Here is a 21,633-nt window from a genome sequence, read left to right as displayed (position 1 = left end):
TCCTCACAACATATTGCTCTGTTCAACCCACCCCAGGACTCTCTAAGCCTGGACGTGACGCCAGGGGGTGCCCAGTGTGAAGGCACCCACGCTCGGATGATTCTGGGGTCATTTTCCTGAAGAGCAGCCCCTACCCAGCGACGTCTCGGAATCAACCCCCACCTCACTTCGGCCAGCCCCACCTCATCTGGCCTTCCCCAGCCTCCCTCACCGTCTTCAGCAAAACCCTACCCCCTGCCTCACCTCCCCAGCCTGCCCTGGGGGGCCGCTCTCTCCCACTCCTTCCTTATTAGCGTGTATGAAAAGAAAAGGAATTTCTTTTGCAGTTTATCCTCTGAACAGCCTCCGAAAAGAGTTGAAGGACACGCTGCAAAGTGTGAAAAAAACAGGGCCTGAGCTTGCCAAGAGGGCCAAGTGGTTACTTTAATCATGTGGAACAGCCACTTTTTCATGGAAAATTTTCTACTCCAACACCTGTGGCCATTAAAGGCGCCCTCGGCTCTTTTCTACCCTGGGTCCCAGGGGTCACTCTCCAGCCAAGGCTGGCTGCCAGCTCTGGTCATTACTCCTGTGCCCCTCCTCTCTGCCTTCCTCAGCCCTTCCCAGCCCAGCCTTGCTTTGCCCCAGGCCTGCTGGGTGCAGGCATGCAGTCCTGCCTGGCTTCCCTTGCCTCTCTGCAGTTTCTGAAATGAATAATTTAGTGACACCAGGTTCCCCTCCTCCTGCACTGGTTGCTTCTGAGGCTTCTTGGGACAGGTCTGTCCTGTCCCTCTGCCACCTCTGACTCTCTGCTTCCTCCAGAATCTTCCTTAGGCAGGCTCACTTCCCTGGACCCTGGAGATGCTCCAGTGCCTTCCGTCCCCCAGGCTGAAGTGCCTTGTGCCTCCTCTCAACTCAGAGACAGGGAAGCCCAGGAGAAACAGCTCCACCAGCCCTCTTTTGATCCGCTGTTCCTCTGCATGCCCAGTTTTTGTTTTCAGATTGTGTATGCTGATTTGGGTTTGCAATTGATCATCAATGTGCTTGGGATAGCGTACAGCCCCCTCCCCACCATTCTTTGGTGAATAACTAGGATGCAGAGGGGTGAATAGATTTCCCTAAAGTTCCCCAGTGTCTGCCAAGACAGGGAAGGACAGGGAATAGACTGTGGAAGCCAGACCTCCTGAACAACTTGCCCCAGCTTTCTCTCCCCATCTCCTTATTTGCTCCATGGCCCACCCAACCTTGCCTCCCCCATCACACTGCAGACACAGCTCTTACTCAGGCCACTAGTGAGCCACCATCACCTCCACACTCTAACGTTACCACGTGATATAGCAGGTGATGAAAGTGGAAACCAAAAAAAAAGAGGACCAGCAAAAAAAAAAAAAAAAGGAAGAGGTGGTTTGCAACAGACACCTAGCGAGTTAGCAGTAAAGCCAGAACTGGAACCCTGGTCTCTAGGTTCCTTCCCCAAGGATCCTTGCTCTGTAACAAGTTGTCTCCTGGGATGGCAAGGGTGAATCTCCCCAATCACAGAGATCCTCCTGCAATAAAAGCTGCATTAATTTACCAAAATAATATTAACACAGCAGAATAGAGTTGGAGGATTCACACTTCCCAGTTTTAAAACTTACTCCAACCCTGCGGTCTTTACAACACCGCAGCAGTGGTATACGGATAAGCATACAGACCAGTGTAACAGAACTAAACCAGAATAAGCCAGACATAAACCCATACACCCATGGCCAATTGATTTTCAACAAAGCAGAGTCATAAAACACATGTACTGCATAAATGGAAATTATGAACTGGCTGAACCCCAGAGGCCAGTCTAGCTGGCTGAGATTTTCCTCCTAACCACATACATCCCTGCCTCCAAGGGACGTGGTGGCTCATGCCTTTAATCCTAGCACTTTGGGAAGCCGAGGCAGGTGGATCACCTGAAGTTAGGAGTTCAAGACCAGCCTGGCCAACATGGTGAAACACCATCTCTACTTAAAATAGAGATTTCTAGTAGCTTCGCCACTGCTGGGGTCACAGGCTGGGGTGTGGTGGGATGAGAAGGAGGCTGTCCCAAGACACTGATCCTCTGGGATTGCAGACAAAGTGCCTGTTGGCTGGCAGAGGACAGTTAGGAGGATAGGGCTGAAAGGCTGCAGCATTTTGTTAGGAGGACCTGAGAACAAAGCCTGGGCCCAAACTGGACATGAGGAGCTTCACCACCCAGGTCCCTCGTGGGGCTCAGGCATTGGTAGTATTCATAGAGATGTCTGTGATGATGGAGGCAGGAAGTAGGTGGCATTGGATGGACCAGACAGGTGGATTATGAAAGGAAGAATCAGGGCCCTGACGTGGGCCAGGTGCGAATGGAAGGATGGGAGGTTGGACTTGAGAACAAACAGCATCATGGATGCCTGGAAGAACCTTGGAAAGTCATGTCCATGCATCCAGCCAGCTTGGGTAGACAGGGCTGGTGCCTCACCCTAAACCACCAGCCAAGTAATCACCAAGTTCACTGGATTATTCTTCTGCACTGGGTCCGAAGGTTGACCCCTCTGATCCCTCCCTCCCGTGTCCTTTAAAACTGTGTTTTTAGGGCCCATTACATCCTACTATAGACATCTGGGTTCATGTCTAAATTTCCTGCTGAGTCTAAGCCCCTTTTGGCCGGGATGAGTCTGACTCATCATTGTTTTCTGCCACTAAGCCTGGTACAGTGCCTTATTCTGAGAAGGAGCTCGTGAGTTGTCCATTGCATGCATGACCATAGGACACATGTTTTGTCTGCCAACAAGCTTTCACTGGGGGAAACACAGTCCAACCTCATGCAGTTCCCATGGAGGCACTAAGCACAAAAGCCTCAGGGATGACATCCAACCTAGACTGGTCCAATTCCAGTTGTTTATACCCCCAACCCCAATTCATAGTGATTGGTTCAGATGTGGGCAGGTGACCCGAGCAGAGCCAATCAGAATCCTCCCACAAGATTTGGCTCATGGAGTCTGGAAGAGCCTGCCTTCCTTTTGGATCTTGAGCTGTGAAGACATGGCCGAGAGGCTCCCATGGTCCTATTTCTTATTATGTTTGTGAGCCTTTTATGAGAGTCAAGATAGCCACATAAGGTAAGCAAGGGCTGGGTCTGGAGAAAGAAGCAAACAGTTGATGATGTTGTGGGACATTTCAGCCTTGCCCAGAGTCCTTATAGCCCAGACTGCTCAGTTTTAGGACCAGGGATTTTTCTCTTTTCCCACTCAGGTTGGCTTGAATTGGGTTTTTGATCCTCATACCCAAGAGTCTTGGGTCATCAGTGAGAGCACCCTACTTTGAACCCCACCTGGTGGTAGAGGAAATATGGCAAATCTTGGGGAGAACTTGGTGTGATGCAGCCCTTGTGGTCTGCCATAATCTCAGGTTAATTCAAAAACAGGGCACCTGGGGGAAGCCAAGAAATGCTTAGGAGCTTGGAGTCAACGATAAGCAAAATGGCTGGAGAAGAGTGATGAAATTAGCCTCAGCTGTTGGCAGTGAGGGGGTGGCAGGGTAGAGATGGGGAGCATAGGAGGGCTGAAAGGGGCAGGGAGACAGCCTTGACATGCGTGGAAAGTCTAAAAAGACAAAAATTAGCTGGGTGTGTTGGTGAGCACCTGTAATCCCAGCTACTCAGGAGGCTGAGGTATGAGAATCACTTGAACCTGGGAGGTGGAGTTTGTAGCGAGCCAAGATCATGCCACTGCACTCTAGCCTGGGTGACAGAATGATAATCCATGTCAAAAAAAAAAGAAGAAGAAGAAGAAGTGAGGAGAGGCTACTATAACCACAGTGTGTGGTCATTATTAGATATTAGATTAGATATGAATTATTAGATGCATCTGGCATGCAGAAGATATTTAGGAAACCATAGCTATTGCTACTACCCTTAATTTCTGGATTACACAGAGAAGGGATGCTAATTCCCACTCCTTCCCATGCCAATAATTTTGTCTCCTGTTCTGACTGAGAAGGTTGAGGTGTCTGGAATGAGGATTAGCAGATGGTCCCATAAAGAGGGAGTCCTCTGTTTATGGGAGAGTCCCTCCAGTTCTGCATATGTTTGCTGAACATGCATTGATTGTGTGGCACCCCACCTCGCTGCTGATACATTATTTTAAAATCAAACTCTTTGTTTTGGTATTTAGAAGCATATCTTTGATTCTCCGTAAACAGTTATGTAACCACTTTTTTCATAGTAAACCATACATAGTTAAGGGCTACATATTTTCAGTCTAATTAAATAAATTCAATAGATATTTACTAAGTGCCAACTCTGTGCCAAGGCTGGACCAGGCCCTGCAGCTGGAGATGGAAGATGGTGTTTCCTTGAGAAGATTACCATAAAGAAGAGAGACGAGAGTCATCACTACAGCACAGGTGTGTTAAAGGGAGAATAGATAGTTTTCGAGTGTTGTGGAAGCATAGGAAGGAGGAATTAATTCCTCTTGGGGAAACGGAGGAGGAATAGCAGCAAGGCGGATCTGACATGTAAGGGTGTGAACGCCCCCAAGGAGCAGGGGCATTCTAGACACTGTGGGTAAACTTGCTGATGGCCTCCTGTGGCTTCCGCTTGGGCTTGGTGGGGAGGAGAGGAGAAAGTAAGGCTGGAGAGGCAGGTGGGCTGGGAATGCTGAGGCTGGAGCTTGACAGTAAGAAGCCCTGAAGTGTTTTCATCAGGATTTGAGGTGATGGAGTGGCATTCCGGAAAGATCCCTTAGGCAACAGTGGGAAGAATGAAGCAGAGAGAGGCAAATTGGGGCTGAAAGAGTAGCAGGGGCTGTTGAAATAGCCCAGAGGAGCTGCAGTGATGGTCTGAGCCAGGGCAGCAGCAGTGGGGATTTCTCGGGGGCTTTGGACGGAAAATTGACAGGAGGTGGCTGGAGGTCAGACGTGAGGCTCCAGGGCGGTGAGGATGGCTCCCAGGCTTTCCGCTCCAGTGACTTGGGGAACACAGTTGGAATATTGTGAGCGTTTCATTGACTTCACCAGAGGTGTGTGAGCCCTCTGTCTTCTCCTGAGCCTCAAGAAGTCTGGGAGAGGATGAAATAGGGGAGGGAGGGCATGGGAACCAGGCAGGGTAGGAAAAGCCAGGCTGCCTATTGTGGTCAGACCTCACCACTCCCCGATTTCCTGGCAGACACGGAGAACAGGGATACCGGGCTGGGCACAGGAGTGGGGCCTCGACAAGCAAGAGAAGCCCCCTCCAGAAGCAGCCCCGGGAGCCGTCCTCTGGGGAAGCAGATGGTCCAGGAAGCAAGAGGAGGGAACAGGGCCTCATACACAGGTGTCAGAGGATCCTAAGAACATTCTGGACTGGCAGCTTTCTCTGTGGGTTTTCATGGGCTCAGCGGCTGCCTGGGTGGGACGCTGATCCTGGCTCACTTTCAGGCATCGAGGAGACTGACAATCTCCTCGTCTTATCCACGTTCTCCCTCCAAATTCATTAAGTTAAATACACACACACACACACACACACACACACACACACACTAAGACAGTTTCAAATGTGCTAAGCTAGGCAATAGATTTATATATTATAAAGAGATTCTATTCTCTAAGAACTAAAAACAATACTATAAATGCTCCAATTACAACTTACTTTTAAACTTAATGTTTGATGATATCCTTTTGTACTTGTCCTCTCATCGTGCTGGTCTCTGATTTTGTGCCTTTCCTCTGATTTTCCTTCACAGGTGAACACAATCGACCAGCCAAGGTGATTCACACACTTCAGCTTGAAGCTGATCTGCCACTTGTGTCTTCTTGTCTCTATTGAATTAAGTTCCTGAGACCTAATCCTTCCCATCACTAGTATCGGTGCTTTTATTTTTGTTTTCTACTTAGTTGGATAACATAGTGAAGGAAAATGTGCTAATATAATAGAAATAATTGCATTAATAAGCCTGGTAAACAGGCAGAGACAGTGGGAGCCATGGCCAGAGGCAAGCTGCTGGCAGCCAGGCAGTACCACCATACAAAAGCTCACAAATTTCTTTCAAGAAATGCCATACGGCTGGGCATGGTGGCTCATGCCTGTAATCCCAACGCTTCGGGAGGCCTAGATGGGTAGATCACTTGAGGTCAGGAGTTCAAGACCAGCCTGGGCAATATGGTGAAACCCCCCGTCTCTACTAAAAATACAAAAATTAGTCAGGCATGGTGGTGCATGCCTGTAATCCCAGCTACTCAGGAGGCTGAGGCAGAAGAATCGCTTGAACCTAAGAGGCAGAAGTTGCAGTGAGCCGAGATCATGCCACTGCACTCCAGCCTGGGTGACAGAGTGAGAGTCCATCTCAAAAAAAAAAAAAAAAAAGAGAGAGTTCATAATGTCTGCGTGTGAAGGTGTAGGCTATATGACAGCTAAATATATAACAGTGAGGACCATCTGGCTTCAATTTACAGATTTATTTATGTAAAAACTCTCTTCTATTTCTTCACCTTAAAGAAACATGAATAAAATATCCAACGCTCTCACTGGTGCAATTCCTGAGAGATTCCTTTGTCGTATTGGGATCTGTCAATGGGTAGATAAGGAGAAACAAAGGAAGGGATAGAAGTGACACAGAGAGAGAGAGAGAAGGTAAAAAATAAAGGGAGAAGCAGAAAAAATCTTTTTAAAAACCTATAATTAATATACTTTGAATGCTAAGGTATTGCCTTAATGAAATGAGACCAGGAAATTGTGAAAAAACAATAACCAGAGAACAAAAAGGAGCTCTTGGAAATAAAAATAAAGCAGAAAAAAAGGATTTTACAGGGAAAATGGATAAAGGATGAGACATTTAGAATAACGATTTAAGATGTCTAATATCCAATTAATAGAATTTCTAGCAGTGGAATAAAGAAGAGATGGGGAAGGGCAGAAATTAGCTAAGAAATAAATGGATTTTTTCTAGAATTGAGGGAGATGAGTTTCCAGATTGACAGAACCTATTGATTGTCCAGGACAGTGAATGGGAAAGACACACAGTAAGTAATATTGACGCAAAATTTTCCAACAAGAGGGATAGAGAGAAGTTTCTTAGAGCTCCCCATGAAAAAATAAGACAGGTCCCATACAAAGCTTCAGGAATCGGATGGTGTCAGATTTCCCAATTACACAAGGTAAGCTGGAAGACAACGGAGCAGTCCTTTTAAAACACTAAGAAAAAATAATTTCCAACCCAGAATTCAGTACCTTACCAAATAAAAAATGTACCCTTTCTCAGGAAGGCACTGAAGAAGGTGTTCCAGCAAGACAAAGGAGTAAATGTAAAAAGTAGAGGCCACAAGCTCTAGGAAACAGGCTTACAGAAAGTTTTAGTCCCAGAATAATCACTGATTACTATTTTACTTAAATATCATCATGATAATGGAAGGATGAGGGAGAAACTGTAAAGGGGAGTGCAGTGTAACATTTTTAAGTTCTCTTTTGCCATTTGAAGAAGCCATGAGACGATGCCTAAAATTGGTAAGTGATGACATAGCCACATAAGCAAATTATTCAGAAATATACAGGCAAATACCAGAAGCAGCAGCTGGGAATTGATGCTGGTTTGGTTGCCTCTGGTGAGCAGGACTGGGCAGAGAAGGGGCTGGGAGGACAATTGGGAGGTGGTAGGCAGGAAACCAGTTTCTAGTTGTTGCTGTTACATATTCTTTTAATATGAATTGATTTAAAGTACAAAAACTATGCGCACATATTACTTTGATAAAAAATTTTTAAAGAAATTTCTGTGAAAATCAATGAACCAAGTACACCTGTGAGCCATTACTAATATGGTCACCCAAGCATCATCCAAGTGGCGTGGACAGAGTGGGGGGTCATATGTAATTTCTGCCTATCCCGACACCACCCTCCCCCTACACCTTCCTTCCCAACTCCCCACTCCCACCTCTGCACGATGCCCATCCCACCCACTCTCGGGCTGCACCCGGAGGCTCAGCACCCCCTCAGTGCTGGATCTGGCAGGACCACCCCTCCCCCGCCCTGCCTGTGGCTGCTGGAATCCCTGTCGCCCTGGGACTCAGCTGACAGCGGACGGACAATGGTATTTCCCATCAGCCTGGATATCAGGAGCCGGCCTTATCCAGTGGTGTTTTTCTATTAGTCTAACACCCCATTGTCCACTCCTTATCACTAAAATGTTGATGTCATGCCTGGCTTGGAAGTGGTTTCTGCTGCTCGGCCCTGGGACAGCTTCACTTTAATTGGGGGTGTGGGAGGAAGAGGGGTGGAGAAGCCCATTTATCAGAATTCTCATGAGAATTCACCCCGTTCCTCCTTTCAGTCAGGGCCACGGAGGAGGCTTGGTGGGGAGGGTTCCTAGTTGCGATTCCTGGCCTTTCTCTCTTCCCTAAGTAGGTGCACTGGGTCTCAGCCCCACTGGCCACCCTCAGGGCTGAAATATCGAGGTGGGTGCAAGGATGGGGGGACACTTTCATCCCACCATGCTTTGGGCTGGGGATTTCGGGGACCTGCTTTATCCTTTTGGTAGATGGAGAGCTCTGGGTGGGTGGGACACGACTTTTCCTTCTCTGAATCTTCTGCAGCTCCTGACGGCCCCACCAGAGACCGCTCTTAGTAGGAGCTCCATAGATATGTGAGGGGCTAATGCGAATGGCAGCCAGCTGGAAGGTCCAGTCTGAGAACAGATAGAAAATGTGAGGCCCGTCTTCATCTCCATTCTCCTGAACCCCACCGAATTGCATCAGCTCTTAAGGGAAGTCTTAGAAATACACTCTGTGCCTTCCCCATGTGCCCTGTCCTTCTGTCCCTCTCTGATTCTGTTTGTTCATAGTGGAGGTTAGCGCACAGGGAGACAGCATGTATGTCTGATGCACATGCATGTGCGAATGTGTGTGTGTGTTAGAGGTGCAGGTGGTGTACAGCCCCCCAGGGAATCTGGTTAAGAGAGGATGCAGTTCACTCTGGAGTGGGGTAGGCTCGGCTGTGGTTTGCTCAGGCAAATTGCTTCACTTTTCCAAGACCCAGCTTCCTTGTCTGTTAAACAGGTACCACAAGGCAGCTTCCCAGGGGCTTGCAGTGAAGGCTGAAATGAAACGATTGAGGTGCTTAGCATGCTGCCTGGCACATAGTAGGCATGCAGGAAATGGCAGTTATTACTGGTATAGCTTTCTGTGGGCTTTGACCAAAAGCCTAGTCTGGGAACTGGCAAGCACAGCAGAGTGCCATGCTCCTGGCACTCTTCCTTGGAGAGCTGGGACAGGGAGGCTGAGTTCCCCTCTGGCTGGGCCAGCCTGTGTGGAAAAAGCAAGCTTGCTGGGCCTCAAGTTCTTGCCTCAAGTTTAAAAAGCAAATAAGTGCATACCATAAGCATTTGGAGGCTGCGGTTTTCTATGGAGTCAGCATGTATAGACCATGAGTGTATTCTGGAGTGCTCCTGATGGAATGCAATTTGGGACACAGATGGCAAGCGCACAGACGGCAAATGCATCTTGAAGGTGCATGTTGCCTGTGCAAAGTGGCCACCCCACGGTAATCTAATTTAACACACACACAAACTCCGCGAGCAGGTTCTGTTCTCTGCAAGAGGGTGAGAGGCTCAAGACCAGTTCTACGACACATAGAATGTGGCCGTGCTCTCGAGCCAACCAGCTCCAGCCCCCTGCCCCATGTCTTACAGAGGAGCTGCTTACACTGCTGTGGAAGCCGACCCTAGAGTAACGACCAGCACAGCCCCTGAGGGTCAGGGGCCACATGGGAATACATCTCATTTGGTTCTCACCAGACCCTGCGAAACACGTCAGGGAGGAATCATTATGTCTGAGCAGAGGAAGCTATAGGGGCTCACAGAGAGCTAGAATGCAAGCCTAGGCCTTCTGAGTCCAAATCCAGGACTTTTCCATGACTTCAAGTGACAGCAGATAAAGCACTTGACTTTGTCTCTGAAACACACATTCCTGGGAAGAAAAGAGGCCTAAAAAGGAGAGCAGGGTCTGTCTGCTTTGTCACCGTGTTTACTGTGTGATCTTCATTCCTCAGGGTCTTGCCAGGTTCTCGTGAGCACTACAGTCCTTGGGGATCTTGGCCCAGAGCCCAGGACTAAGGTGGCCAGAAGTCCAGGATAGGGGTATACTACCTTGCCCTGGTTCCAGATAGCATGAGACCCGTCTTCTCCTTCCTGATAGGACGCTTCTGGAAATTCCAAAGGTTAAAATCGGGAAACAAGAAGGAGGCAGGAATACTATGTGTGGCCTGGATAGGAAGATATAGTGCTTTTCAGGGGGCAGCTTTAAGCCATGTAAATTCTCTTACCCTAAGGGACTTGAAGGGTTTCCAAAGGTCTGTGGATGGGGTAAAATCCCACCAATGAGCCTTCCATCTGTCCTAACTTAAGGTGCAAATATTTCTGGCAGGCCAACACACAAATTCATGAACACTTCAGCATGAATGAGCAACTCACACGCACTCTTCTGAGAGTGCCGGGTGCAGACCAAAGATGCTGAGGGGAGAACACACAAGGCCCAAGAGGAAGTGGGTATAGAAACAGAAAACAGTTCTTGACAGTTTTCCAGATCTGTCACTTTTTTTTTTTTTGAAGGGTGGAATTTTCTCTCCTGTCAAGTTTATGCCTAGAACACGCGTTCCATCGGTTGGATCCCTGGGTTTAAGGCGGCATTTCCAGGGTGCCTCTTTGCTTAACTAAGCACTTACACTCCTTAAGCTTCAGTGATCTCAGTGTCTGATGTCCAGGGTGTTGGAGGGTCTGGCTGGGTTTCCTGGAAAATTCTTACATACACTGAAGTGCCCTCTCCCTTCCCAGAACAAACAACTTTGCATTATCAGAGCCCCTTGGCTTTACAAAACCCACGTTAGCATACAATGCCCAGCTCCTCTTTTTAATTGTTCCCTTTCTCGTTTCTCCCTCCCTTCTATCCTGTCTTTCACATTTCTATCCTTTCTCCGTTGGGATTTGCAATTTTGTTTGTGAAATAATGACTCACTCCAGTAATCAATGACCTGGACCTAGAGGTCACTGATGTATTCTTCCTTGACTATTCACCTAAATCAGCACCTCCTTCTCAGTTTGTATCTTTCACCAAACCCTTACTAGCATTTGCTATGCTGTGTGATGATTTGTTCATTTCTTGTATCTACCCCCAGATCTAAGCCCCATGGGCAGGGACTGTCACTCTTGTTCCCACCGTATTTCGTGTCTTGGCGTGGTGGCCAGCACACAGATGTGTTTAGCAAACACAGGGTGAATGAATAAATACGAGGATAAAGACCAGTGTGCTCTGCACAGACTAGTGATTGCAGGGAAGATGGACTGCCCTGAGTTTTCCAGGCAGACTTTGACGATGAGAAGTGACAGCGTTTGAATCCAAGTGAGGAGGCCACCCTGGACTCACATCTCAGCTTCGGAGATCGGGAGCCAGAGAGATGTTGGAGACTTTTAAGAGAAGAGCAGGAGCGGAGGGCTCAGGAAGAAAAACCACCTGGGGGGGCCGGACACGGGGAAGGGGAGGGGAGTCGCTCCCGGGTTCTTCCCTGGCTTCATTCGCTGCTTCTGTCTCTGCAGCCCCAGTTAGCGCCTGCCAGGCTCTGTGAGGGAGCGGTGCATGAGCGTGCCATCCTCCTCGGTGACCAGGTTAGAACCCAGGCATGCCGTGTCTGGGCCCTGGGCAGGTAGGCAACACCAGGCAACGTCTCAGGAGGGAAGGTGGTGAGCGGAACGGCATGCAGCCAGCCGGAGAACCTCACAATGAACCACTCTTCACGCTGGAGCCGTGGGCTTCCCAATTCTCCTCCCATAGCAGAGCCGAAGGAGGCCCTGGTCCCCAGGAGGCGGCTGCCCAAGCCTGAGGCTGCCGCCTCAGTCAAAGGGGCTGGAGCTGAGACCCCCAGGCTGTCCTGGGGTGTCAGTGAGGAGCCCAGCCTCCGCCTGAAGCCGCTTTCAGGGAAGGGAAGGAAACAGTCACTTGGTGGAGCTCCTGGTGCCCCAGCCATTCACCCTGCAGCACCTCTGTTCACACCACAAACACCCACGGAGGAAGCCGAGTTCTTTCAACCCACCCGCCATAGCCCCGTTTTTCCGCGGAGGAAGGGACACTGGAGCTGGTTGGGAACTTGCTGGAGAAAGTGGGACGTGCCAGGCTGCTTTCAGGCCCAGCCTCCCAGCCTGGTTCCAGACACGAGGCCCTGGCCCGGACCCTGGGCGGCTGCTCCGGGCCCGCGGTTCTCCCCTCGCCTAGCACTTCCTCTGCGCTTCCTCAGCGTCTTCCTCGTCCCTCCGGCTCCCCTCCCTGGCTCCGGGGGTCTGCCGCTGCAGCCGGCCTCCCCTCTATCTTGTCTCCCCGTTTCCACGGCTATCAGTCATTATCTGGTGCGATCCACCCTGGCCGGGGCACAGGAAGCCGGCCTGCGACGCTCCTCTTTATTCTCCATTCTTTTCCTTCTCCAGAGACAAAAGCAAAAACAGCCTGTTAACAGATCCGCCATTTCCCTTGGCTCCTTGACTCCCATTTCCCACTCTCATTTTTTTTCACAGGCTCCAGTGTTCCATGGTCAGGTCCTCTGGAGCCGCTGCCGCCCGGGCCTGAGGGCCCAGGCCTGTGACTTCCTCCTGGCCTGTCTGTCTGCCCGGGAGCCGGCACCGGCACCCACAGGCCCAAGGCTGTCTCCCTGGCCAAGCCGAAGCCGCCGGCTCCCTCTTATCCTCTGCGAGATCAGCCCAGCCAGTTGGAAGGGGCCGGCCAGCCGTCTGGCTGTCTGAGCCGGGACCGGTTGGCGGGTGCTCTGGCCTTCCTCATTAGCGGGGTCTCCACTGCCCTTCCTCTCGCAGGCTAGGCTGTGGCTCCTATTATAGCTACTGGAGGGTTTTTTAGTCAAAGAGCACCATGCATCCATTTATTATTTTACCATTCACTCAGACGTTCCCTGAGCACTTCCTATGCTGCTGCTGGAGCCCAGGGATCAGCCAACTATGACCTCTGGCCCCAAACGGCAGATCCTCTGTGGAGAGTGAGGAGGTTGCTGGGCTGAATCAAAGTGCTCTCACGCACGGTGGAAGTTGCTACGTGCAAAGAGATGCGGGCAACCAAGTGCTCTGAGGTGCAGAGGAGGCAGAGGCCATGCCAACAAGGAGAGCTTACGGCTCTCAGCCCTTCTCCGTGCCAGGCGCTGGGCTGAGCACTTCACATTGCTGTCTCATTGAATCCTGGAGGTAATCCATGGGGTAGGTACGATGATCATTAGCCCCTATTTCCAGATGAAGAGACTGAAGCTTAGAGTTAAGTGATCCACAGTGAGTACAATGCCTGGATTCATAGCCAGAGGCCCATGTGCTTTGAAGCCCCAGTTCATCATGTTGCCCTCCTACCATCTCTACCCACTCCCCCAGCCCCTTGGGGCTGCAGAGCACGCTGGACAGAGCTGGGGAGGGGGGTGGTGGGCGGGTCTCTGGCTCAAGCTACTTCGTCATATTGCATCTCAGTTTTCCTGTCTCCTAAGCTTGTTGTGGGTTTTAAAGGAACAAAGCCTCTAGTGTGCTCAGCACAGTGACTGGCACAGAATACATGCTCCATAAACGTTAGCCATGTTTATTTTTGTAGTGATTGTCACTACTACAGGAAGGTTATCGGGGAGGTGCTTTGCAGAAGAGTGGCGTAGGAGGCTGATGCACCTCTTGCGTCAATTTTCGCTTTCCTCGTGCATGCACCCTCTCGGGCTGAAGCCGTGCACATCCCAGAGTGTCCTCTGCCATTTCTGTCTCAGGGTCAGCCCGAGTTCTCCCCAGTGCTCACAATCTGTTCATTTCAAGATCATCTGGGCCCTTGAGAAGTCTGAGTCCCTTCTTTTGTGAATCCAGCTTTATTTTTTAAAATTAAAATTGTAATAAAATATACAGAACCTAGCTACAAGTTACCATTGTAACTATTTTTTAAGGATTCAGTTGAGTGGCATTAAGAATATCTACACTGTTATGCAACCATCACCACCATCCATCTCCAGAATTTTTTGCAATATCCTCGACTAAAACTCTACTTCCATAAAACACGGAGTCCCATTTCTCCTCCCCCGCAGCCCCTGGCAACCCCCATTCTACTTCGCATCTCTATGTATTTGACTCCTCTGGGTGCCCCCATATAAACAGAATCATACAATGTTTGTCTCTCTGTGACTGGCTTATTTCACTTAGCATGATGTCCTCAAGGTTCACCCATGTGTCAGAATTTCCTTGTTTTTGAGGCTGAATAATAATCCATTTGATGGATGGACCACATTTTATTTATCCATTCATCTGTCGATGGCCACCTGGGTTGCTTACACATTTTGGCTATTGAGAATAATGCATATATATATATACATACCCAAATGTACCCAATATATCTACTTCAACGTCCACAACTATAATTGGTGGATCAAATGGCAATAATATGTTTAATTTTTTTAATTTTTCTTTTTCCATTGGTACATAATATTTGTACATATTTATGGGGTACATGTGATATTTTGTTACATGCATAGAAGGTGAAACGATCAAGTCAGGGTATTTAGGATATCCATCACCTTCAGTATTTATCATTTCTATGTGTTAGGAACATTTCAAGTCCTCTCTTTTAGCTGTTTTGGAATATACAATACATTGCTTTAACTATAGTTATGCTACTCTGCTATCAACATTAGATCTTCTTTCTTGTATCTAACTGAATGTTTGTACCCATTAACCAGCCTCTCTTTATCACTCCCTTCCAACACACCCTTCCCAGCCTCTCTACATCCATGAGGTCAACATTTTTATCTCCCATGTATGAGTGAGATCCTGCAATATTTGTCTTTCTCTGCCTGGCTTATCTCACTTAATATAGTGACCCCCAGCTCCATTCATGTTGCTGCAAATGACAGGATTTCATTCTTTTAATGATCATGTAATATTCATATATATTTATGTATATATATAACATTTTCTTCATCCATTCATCTGTTGGTGGACACTTAGGTTGACTCCATATGTTTGCTATTCTGACGAGTGCTACAATAAACAGAGGAGTGCAGGTCTTTTATACTAGTGCTAATTTCCTTTCATTTGAATAAAAACCCAGTAGAGGCACTGCTGTATCATATGGTAGTTCTATTTTTAGTTTTTTGAAAACTCTCCATACCATTTTCCACAGGGGCTGTACTAATTTACATTCCCACCAACAGTGTATAAGAGTTCCTTTTCTCCACGTCTTCTCCAGCATCTGCTTTTTTTGTCTTTTTAGTAATAGCCATTCTAACTGAGATGATATTTCATTGTGGTTTTGATTGGCATTTCCCTGATGATTAGTGATGTTGAGTATTTTTTCACATACCTGTTTACCATTTGTTTGTCTTCTTTCGAGAAATGCCTATTCAAATCCTTCGGTCATTTTTAGTGGGATGATTTGATTTTTTTACCGTTGAGTTGTTTAAGTTCCTTATATATTTTGGATATTAGTCCCTTACTGAATGAAGAGTTTGCAAATATTTTCTCCTATTCAACAAGTTTTCTCTTTACTCTGTTGATTGTTTCCTTTGCTGTGCGGAAGCTTTTTAGTTTAATATAGTCTCATTTGTCTACTTTGGTCTTTGTTGCCTATGCTTTTGAGGTCTTAGTCAGAAAATCTTTGCTTAGACCAATATCCTGAAGTGTTTCCCCTATGCTTTTTTTCTACTTTTATAGTTTTGGGTCTTACTTTTAAATCTTTAATTCATCTTCAGTTGCTTTAAGATATAGGGCTCCAGTTTCATTCTTCCATGTGTGGATGTCCCGTTTTCCCAGTATCATTTATTGGAGAGAGGGTCCTTTCCCCAACATATGTTCTTGGTGCTTTAGTCAAAAATCAGTCGGCTATAAATAAGTGGATTTATTTCTGGGTTCTGTATTATATTCCATTGGTCTATGTGTTTGTTTTTACATCAATACCATGCTGTTTTGATTACTATATCCTTGTAATGTATTTTGAGGTCAGATGGTGTGATGCCTCTAGCTTTGTTCTTTTTCCTTAGGACTGCCTTGGTTATTTCCACTCTTTTTTGGTGCCATATGAATTTTAGGATATCTTTTCCATTACTGTGAAAAATGATGTTGGTATTTTGATAGGAATTGCACTGAATCTGTAGATTGCTTTGGGTAGTTTGGTAATTGTAACAATCTTAATTCTTCTGATCCATGAGCATGGGATGTCTTTCCATTTGCTTGTGTCCTCTTTGATTTCTTTCACCAGTGTTTTGTAGTTTTCCTTGTAGAGGCCTTTCACTTCTGTGGTTAAGTTTATTCCTAGCCTTTTCTTTTTGGTAGCTATTGTAAACGGAATTGCCTTCTTGATTTCTTTTTCAGATTGTTTGCTGTTGGCATATAAAAATGCTACTGATTTTTGTGTGTTGATTTTATATCCTGCAATTTTACTGAATTTATTTATCACCTCTAACAGGTTTTTCGTAGAGTCTTTAAGTTTTTCTAGTTATAAGATCTGTGTTTAATTTTTTGATGAACTATTTCATAGCAGTTTTTTGTTTCACAGTAGTTGTATCATTTCACAGTCCTACCAACAGTGCACAAGGTTCCAGTTTCTCCACATCCTTGTCGACACTTGTTATTTTCTGTTTTCCTTGATAACAACTATCCAAATGTGTGTGAAATGGGATCCAGCTGCACTTTAATATTGCTACTGATGAAAGTCTCACAGCCTCCGAAAACCATTTATTCTTTATGGGGCACAAATCTGATTGTTAGAAAGTTCTTATACTGAGTTGAAATCCCCGTGTATCCTTTATTTACAATCCTGGCCTGGCCCTGGGAATCAGCCCATCTAAGTCTGTTTCCTCTTCCTCGGGATGTCCCTTCAGCAGACTGGAGCATCCACTGCCCACGCAGTCAGTGTACAGACCCTGCTTGCTGGTCCCCCTGAGTGCCTGCTGGCCCCACCCCCACCCTGCAAGACACTGGCCATGGGGTCTGGCACATCCATGCTGACTGCCTGCAAGGCAGCTCCTGCCACTGAGTGGGCACAGACACCAACAAGACAGGGGGGTACCACTCCTTTTCTCAGAGAGGGTGAGTTATTGGAGGGAAACTCTGGCTCTCTGAGGAGTTAAATCATCCCTTGACTCAGACAAGAGCCCTTTGCTCCATGGTAGAGCATTACTCATCCCGGCACCCCCGGGACCAGGCTCTGTGTCAGGGGAAAGCATGGCTCCCATTATTCTCGCTCAGAAACTCATAAATCATCCTTATTAGAATTTCAGCTCTTCAAATAGACGTGAAACAGCTGGCCAAAGCTGGGTCTCTGGAGTGCTTCTGGGGAGCAGGAGCGGATGCCTCAGGGGATCAGGGGAGCTGGCTTTTAATCCTCAGATGCCAGGACAACTCTCCCAATGTTGGTCCACTTGAGGCAGAAGGACTGAAGGTCCAGTGTCCCCAGGACTCAAATGACCATGGAAGGGGAACTAGGAGAGTGCAAATGTGGCTGTGGCTGCCATGCTCTCTTTATGGTGGCTGCCTTGCCTCTGGATCAGCACTTGGCCACAGCTTGAGCTCAATATTTCATTAAGCAATGTTGTTGCAAACCTCTGCCCTGAAGTCATGTGGTTCTCTCCCTGTTCCTCACCTTCTTCATCTGTAAAAGGAAAGAATTAGACTGGACAGTCACTAGAGCTGCTTCCAGCTCTACTATTCCATGACTTCCACTCTTGCAGAAGTGCAAAACTCCACGTGGATTGGCCACAGTTGAAATTCCAGCTGGTGCTGAGGTTCATTTGGCCATTTTAATTGGAGCAGTAGGGACCAATATTGACCACACCGGAATTTTTATAAACAGTAAAGATAGCACCAGATTTATAAACAATTTAAGCAATCAACCTGATATGTTTTATTATAGAGGCACAGCCAGATTCACGGACAGATAAGAGCCTTTCTCTGACAGTGCGAGGGCACATGCTTAGTGTCTGGGTAGGAGGATGCTGAATTTCTGACGGGAGATGGAGCTAGCCATCATGCTGACACCATTGCAGGGAGGTTGAAAACAATGCTGCCCCCAGCGTGTCTTATCCATGTGCAGGGTGGCTTAGCTGGTTTGGTTATGGATGAATATTTAAGACCCCCAGATTACGGTCTTACAGCTGCAGATTGACCTTACCACAAATTCTGGTTTGCTGGTCCCTAAGTGGGAGCTGTAGGCCCCCTAATTTCCTAAGGGACGATAATAGCACAAATCCACTTCAAACACTTGATCAATAGCGTCTACCAATGGGCCTGGGAATGTGAGATGATAGAAGGGAAAACTACAAAATTAGGAGCCAGAACGCTTGCATGCTCATTCTATCAGTATCCCTCACCAGCTAGGTGACTGGCAAACACAATGATAGACATGCTGTCCTTCTCTGCCCAGCACCTGCCATGAGGTCCTGGATCACTCATCACATCCCAAGCTTGGCCAGCCATTGGTGTAACAGCCACTGTCTCAGGGGGTGGAGTCAATGATTAGCCAACAGGACCATTAGTGCCCTTCCCTGGGATGAATGATATAGGTTCATTCATTGAACCTCATTCATTCAACCTCACTGTTGGCAGTGGGAAGTTCCTACTGGGGTAGCAAAACTGACAATAGGAGTCTAGAGCTGTCATTAATTTCTTTCTCCTCTGTATGGAGAAAGCTTGCCAGCCATAGAAGGCAATAAGGTCAACAGCCAAAGGGAGTGAGAGCCAGGAGATGATGAGACAGAACAAGCTCTGGAAACCTCCTTTGAGTCCCAGTATCACCCAAGGTCCCAAATATTTCACTGTTACTTATCCTGGTCTGAGTTGGGGTGTGTCCCTTGAAACTAAAGGAGATGTGATGCAAAAGCCCACTTTGCTACTAAGGCCTCGTAAAAATATAGGCAGTGATATAGGTGAGTGCTGAGCTCTTCCAGCTCTGGGATTCGATGTTACCTATGAGAAGTGAGAAGTCATTGTTTAGCTCACTTAAAACACTTCCAATGAAACCCAAAAGCCAGGCTTTTTATTCCCTTTAAAATCTTGATATTGAGTTCGATGGGAGGAAGGGTTGGGAGTTCACAGTCGTTGAGTGCTTGCTATGTGTGAGGAGCTGTAGACATGTTTTCTCATTTACTATTCACCATGGCTCTTTGAGGTAGGTGTCAGCTCTCCATTTGGCAGATGAGAAAACTGAGGCTCCGTGAGGTTTTGCAACTTGCCTAAGGCCCTAGAGTTAGTGAGCACCGGAGAGTTTTTGAATCCAGATCTGTCTGATTCCAGCACACTGTCTCCTCTTCCTTATAGGGGATCAGGTTTTTAGCCACAAACGATCCACTCAGCATTGTTATGTTGGTAAGAGGTGGGTCTGCTGAGGAGTGCTCTGGGCTGATTCTTCTAAGTAGCTTATGCTGTTTGACTAATCCTTACAATCATTGTGCAAGATGTTATCCGCACTTCACAAGTGGCAAGAGCAGAGGCTTAAAGAACCAAAATAACGTGCTCCGCTATGAAATGGTTTCAAAGTCCATGCACACTCTGACACCCCTTGGTGTGCTGGCAGGGCCTGAAGATGCCTGGGATTCTTGATCAGCCCAAGATTCCCCCACCCAAGCCATAGCCATGTCCAACCTCTGGAGGTGAGCCCCGAAAGCCTGGCCTGGGGTGGCGTTTGCACCGCTGGAGCTAGGAGACCTGGAAGACAGCTATAGCCCCACCTTTGGCCACTGCTCTTTCATGCCTCATGACGTTGACAATGGTCAGTCATGTAAGCATAACACCTTAAAAATGCCAAGAAAGGCAGTACTTTGGGAAATATGTCCGGAGAGTCGTAGCATTTCTGTCCCTCATGGCCGAAGGGTTAGAACCACCATGACTGCACAAGGTCCTTGAAATCTTAGAGTGTCCTACGAAAGGTGGCTCCAAATGTCACCCCTTGGGATCTGTGGGCTAAAAGCTCAGTCATCCAACGCCTCTTGGCAGAGCTTCCTGTGGAGCTATCCAAGGTCCTGCAACTGCTTTGACCTGTGCTCTGAATCATCAATCGACTCCATTATTCTACCTTTGTCCTTGGCCTGCAGCCTTTCCTGACTTTAGTCCTCATCACACCTGGCCTGTCACATCACACTGTCCTCTTTCACTTACTTTCTAGGACCTGAGATCACTTGATGCAGTCCACGATGACCTTGAGTCTCACTCTTCAAGCTGGTCAAGGCTTACTCTTAGCTACCACTGTCCCTGCTGATAACAAGCTGACCCGATCCTCCAGCACTGCATGCTCCACCCTTACCTCCTCTCTCAGCCACCTGGCTTGGTGAGTGGTTGTTCCCTGGAATATGGTTGACTTTCAAGAGCCAACCAATTTATTGATCTTGTCCATTCTTCTTTCTTGGTTCCATGACTAGCCATTTATGAAACGTTTCAAAATGAGCTTCGAGCAGGGAGATATTCCTTTTCAATTAGGCTCATGACCCGTGCAGGCCTGGCCTCCAACCCATCATGTCACATCTACCACATGTGTCTTGATACAGCAAGCAGTCTCCTTAAAAACAGCCAGCTAGAAAATGAGCTTCCTTTGAAATGTGCCACCTGCTTGTTCTTTTCTTTTCTTTTCTTTTTCTTTTAAGACAGGGTCTCACTCTGCTGCCCAGGCTGGAGTGCAGTGGCACAGTTATAGCTCAGTGAAGACTTGAGCTCCCAAGCTCAAGCAATCCTCCCACCTCAGCCTCCTGAGTAGCTGGAACCACAGGTGCTTGCCACTATGCGTGGCTATTTTTAAAAAAATTTCTTGCAGAGATAGGATCTCACCACGTTGCTCAGGCTGGTTTTGAACTCCTGGGCTCAAGCAATTCTCCTGCTTTGGCCTCCTAAAGTGCTGGCATAAGCCACCACACCCAGCCTGAAATGCACCACCTTGCTTTCTGATGAGAGCAAGGATTATGGTGTTCCAGTCTCAGCATTGCCCCTGACCAGCCATGTGACCTCAAGCAAGTCATCTAAGCCATGGATCCTTTTATACCGCAGTCATTTATTTACTCTCTCATAAATATTTACTGACCATGTTTCATGCATCAAGCTCTCTGCTAGTGCTGAGGATGCTACAAGAAGACATAGTCTCTATCTCCAAATAACTCACAGTTTAATCCAGGAGTGCAATATGTATATGGTAAAAATAAAAGTAACATGGCAAATTATTACAACAAGAACAAACTGTCAAGAATACACAAAAAATAGAACAATCAGTTCCCTCTGCCTGGAAGGCTTTCTCCCTCAGCCCTTGTGTGACTTGCTCTCCCACGTCTGCAGTTCTTTCGTCAAATGTCTTGTCACCAGAGAGGCTTTCCCTGAGCACCCTATTTGAAATCGCAAGCTCACCTCCATCCTGGAACCCCAAGTTGTTCTCTTCCTGCTTTATTTTCCTTCAAAGCATTTACCACCACCTGGCAAGGAGGGGTACTCTCATCTGTGAAGCAGAGGACTGTGCTAATGATTCCTGCACTGGGTTGGATGACAGCCTCCAAGAAGATATGTTCATGTCCTAAGCCCCAGAACCCATGAATGTGACCTTATTTGGAAAAAGGGCCTTTGCAGATGTAATTAAGTGAGGGATCTTGAGACAAGATCATCCTGTTCTTCCAAGGTGGACTTTAAATCTAATGCCAGGTATCTTTATAACAGA

At 47.4% G+C, this 21,633-nt stretch overlaps 2 annotated features.

Annotated features, from left to right (window-relative positions):
* Positions 4,525-5,025: an enhancer, noted in NCBI's record as "H3K4me1 hESC enhancer chr8:11478375-11478875 (GRCh37/hg19 assembly coordinates)". NCBI's record gives its function as "activates a minimal SCP1, AML or CMV promoter by ChIP-STARR-seq in primed H9 embryonic stem cells {active_cell/tissue: H9 hESC(primed)}" and the evidence as "EXISTENCE:reporter gene assay evidence [ECO:0000049][PMID:30033119]".
* Positions 19,884-20,084: a silencer, noted in NCBI's record as "peak6905 fragment used in MPRA reporter construct". NCBI's record gives its function as "represses an SCP1 promoter by STARR-seq MPRAs in K562 erythroleukemia cells {active_cell/tissue: K562}" and the evidence as "EXISTENCE:reporter gene assay evidence [ECO:0000049][PMID:32103011]".

The sequence above is a fragment of the Homo sapiens genome, chromosome 8, assembly GCF_000001405.40.
Source record: "Homo sapiens chromosome 8, GRCh38.p14 Primary Assembly".
NCBI classification, from domain to species: domain Eukaryota; kingdom Metazoa; phylum Chordata; class Mammalia; order Primates; family Hominidae; genus Homo; species Homo sapiens.
The sequence above is the reverse complement of the archived record's forward strand: the minus strand, read 5'-3'. Positions and strand labels throughout refer to the sequence as shown.